At 47.3% G+C, this 3,664-nt stretch overlaps 1 annotated feature.

The window, feature by feature from the left end:
• Nucleotides 2,405-2,605: a silencer, noted in NCBI's record as "peak3165 fragment used in MPRA reporter construct". NCBI's record gives its function as "represses an SCP1 promoter by STARR-seq MPRAs in K562 erythroleukemia cells {active_cell/tissue: K562}" and the evidence as "EXISTENCE:reporter gene assay evidence [ECO:0000049][PMID:32103011]".

Consider the following 3,664-nt stretch of genomic DNA (forward strand, 5'->3'; position numbering starts at 1 on the left):
GTCCCTAGAATAGTTAAATTCATAGAGACAGAATGTAGAATGGTGTTTGCCAGAGGCTAGAGCAGAGGCCCCCAGCCCCCAGGCCACAGACCAGTACCAGTCTCACTCACATTACTGCCTGAGCTCCGCCTCCTGTCAGATCAGCTGCAGCATTAGATTCTCACAGGACCACAAACCCTACTGTGAACTGCACAGGCAAGGGATCTAGGTTGTTCACTCCTTATGAGAGTGATGATCTGTCACTGTCTCCCATCACCCCCAGATGGGACCATCTAGTTGCAGGAAAACAAGCTCAGGGCTCCCACTGATTCTACATTATGGTGAGCTGTATAATTATTTCATTATATATTACAATGTAATAATAATAGAAACAAAGTGCACAATAAATGTAATGCACTTGAATCATCCCAAAACCATCCCCCACCCTGGTTTGTGGAAAAATTGTCCTCCACAAAACCAGTCCTTGGTGCCAAAAAGACTGGGGACTGCTGGGCTAGAGAGAGGGGTTAGAGGGAGTTCGTGTTTAATGGGGACAGAGTTGTTGTTTGGGAAGATGAAAAATTTCTGGAGGTGGATGGTGGTGATGGTTGCACAATCATGATTGTACTTAATGTCATTGAACTGTATACTTAAAAATGGTTAAGATGAGGCCCAGTGCAGTGGCTCACACCTGTAATCCCAGCACTTTGGGAGGCCAAGGCGAATGGATCACCTGAGGTCAGGAGTTCGAGACCAGCCTGGCCAACATGATGAAACCTCGTCTCTACTAAAAATATAAAAATTAGCTGGGTGTAGTGGTGGGCGCCTGTAATCCCAGCTACTTGGGAGACTGAGGCAGGAGCTTGAACCTGGGAAGTGGAGATTGCAGTGAGCCAAGACTGCACCATTGCACTCCACCCTGGGCAACAAGAGCAAAACTCCATCTCAAATTAAAAAATAATAATAATAATGGTTGTGATGGTAAATTTTGTGTTGTGTATATTTTCCCACAATAAAAAAATAATGTGCTGAAGATGCTTCTCAAAGTCTTGCCTGCTATCCTGCTACTTGTTCATCAATTGCAATTTGGCCTGCCACCTACCTTCTTGAGGCTTGTTCCTCAAAGTATGGTCCCTGGACCAGGAGCAGCAGCAGTTGGAAGCTTGTTAGACATGCGGCATCTTGGCCAGATGCGGGGGCTCATGGCTGCAATCCCAGCACTTTGGGAGGTCGAGGCTGGCAGACTGCTTGAGCTCAGGAGTTCAAGACTAGCCTGGGCAACACAGCGAAACCCCATCTCTACAACAAATATATATATATATATAAAAATTAGCCAGATGTGGTGGCATGTGCCTGTAATCCCAGCTACTTAGGAGGCTGAGGTGGGAAGATGGCTTGAGAGCAGGAGGCAGAGATTGCAGTGAGCTGAGATCAAGCCACTGCACTCCAACCTGGGAGACAGAGCCAGACGCTGTCTCAAAAGAAGGAAGGAAGGAAGGAAAGAAAGAAAGAAATGCAAATGACTTAGGCCAGGTGTGGTGGCTCATGCCACTAATTCCAGCACTTTGGGAGGCCAAGGTGGGAAGAGCATTTGAGGCCAGGAGTTTGAGACCAGCATGGTCAACATGGTGAAATGTTGTCTCTACTAAAAATATCAAAATTAGCTAGATGCGGTGATGCACACCTATAATCCCAGCTACTCAGGAGGCTGAGGCATGAGAATCACTTAAACCCTGGAGGCAGAAGTTGCAGTGAGTCAAGATTGTGCCACGGCCCTCCAGCCTGGGTGATAGAGCAATACTCTGCCTCAAAAAAAAAAAAAATGAAAATGATTTATATGCAGGTTAAGGTTTGTGGAGGGCTGTTCTGGATCAGTGGTGGGCAAGTCTGCAGGCACACTGGAATCACCTGTGGAGTTTTAAAATTACTGATTTGATTGGTTTAGTGTGGCCAGGCATCAGGATTTACAACTGCTCACATTAGAATTCAAGTAATTCTAGTGTGCAGCCAAGGTTGGGATCAACAGATCTGGATTATCTTTTCTTCTAACCCTTCAGTGTTTTCACACTTTTCTCATCTCAGTGAACACTTATTTCCTGGGGCATCATTTCTGCTTGATTCTTTTTAATCATTTCAATTCCTTTGTTAAATTTATCTGATAAGATTCTGAATTCATTCTCTGTGTGATCTTGAATTTCTTTGAGTTTCTTCAAAACAGCTATTTTCAATTATCCGTCTGAAAGGTCACATATTTCTGTCTCTCCAAGATTAGCCCCGGTGCCTTATTTAGTTTGTTTGGTGAGGTCACTTTTTCCTGGATGGTCTTGATGCTTGTGTATGTTTGTTGGTGTCTAGGCATAGAAGAGTTAGATATTTATTGTAGTCTTTGCAGTTTGGGTTTCTTTATATTCATCATTCTTAGGAAGGCTTTACAGGTATTCTAAAGGACTTGGGTGTTGTGATCTACATTTGTGGTCACTGCAGCTGTATCTGCATTAGGTGCTACCCCAAGCCCAGTAACACTACGGTTCTTGCAGAGTTATAGAAGCCTTGGTGTCTTGGATAAGATCCAGAAGAATTCTCTAGATTACCAGACAAAGACTCTTGTTCTCTGCCCTTATTTTCTCCCAAACAAACAGTCTGTCTCTCTGTGCTGAGCTGCTTGGAGCTAGGGGAGGGGTGACACAAGCACCCCTGTGGCCACCACCACTGGGACGGTACTGGGTCAGATCAAAAGCCAGCACAGAACTGGGTCTTGCCCAAGGCTTGCTGTAACCACGACCTACGTTCGCTCAAGGCCCTAGAGTTCTCTAATCAGCTGATGGTGAAGCCAGCCAGCCTTGTATCATTCCCTTCGGGGTGGCAAATCCCCTGAGTGGGTCCAGAGATGCTATCCAGGAGCTAGGGCCTGGAGTTGGAAACCTTAGGAATCTATCTGGTGCTCTATTCTACTGCAGCTAAGCTAGCACTGAAACCACAAAAAAAATAAAAATAAAAAAAAAATAAAAAAGCTCTTCCCACTCTTCCCTCCCCTTTCCCCAGGCAGAGGAGTCTCTCCCCGTGTCCACCACTCACCACTCCCACAGGTGCATAGGGAAGGTGACTGACTGCCAGGACACCACCAATGTGCCCTTAAGGCCCAAGGGCTCTTCAGTCAGCTTGTGGTGAATGCTGCCAGGCCTGGGACTCACCCTTCAGGGCAGTGGGCTTCTCTCTGGGCCAGGTTAGGTCCAGAAGTGCAGTCCAAGAGCCACGGCCTGGAATTGAGGACCCCCAGAGGCTGCCTGGTGCTCTTCTCCACTGTGGCAGGCCTGATACCTAAGCTGCAGGACCAAGTCCCCTTTATTCTTCTTTTCTCAAGCAGAAGGAGTCTCTCCTCAGAGCCACTACAGCTGGGAATATGCTGCGTCACATCTGAAGCCAGCACATCTCAGAGTTTCTCACCCGGGGCCCACAGCATATCCTACCTGGCTACCACTGCTGATTATTCAGGGCTCAAGGGCTCTTTAGTCAGCAGGTGATGGATCCTGCCAGGACTGGGTCCTCCCCTTCAAGGCAGCGGATTCCCTTCTGGCCCAGGTGTGTCTAGAAATGTCATCCAGGAGCTAGTGCCTGGAATAGGGGCCTCCCGACTCTGCCCAGTGCCCTATCCTGCAGCTGAGCTCGTATCCAAGGTGCAAAACAA

The sequence above is a fragment of the Homo sapiens genome, chromosome 18 (genome assembly GCF_000001405.40).
Source record: "Homo sapiens chromosome 18, GRCh38.p14 Primary Assembly".
Taxonomy (NCBI): Eukaryota; Metazoa; Chordata; class Mammalia; order Primates; family Hominidae; genus Homo; species Homo sapiens.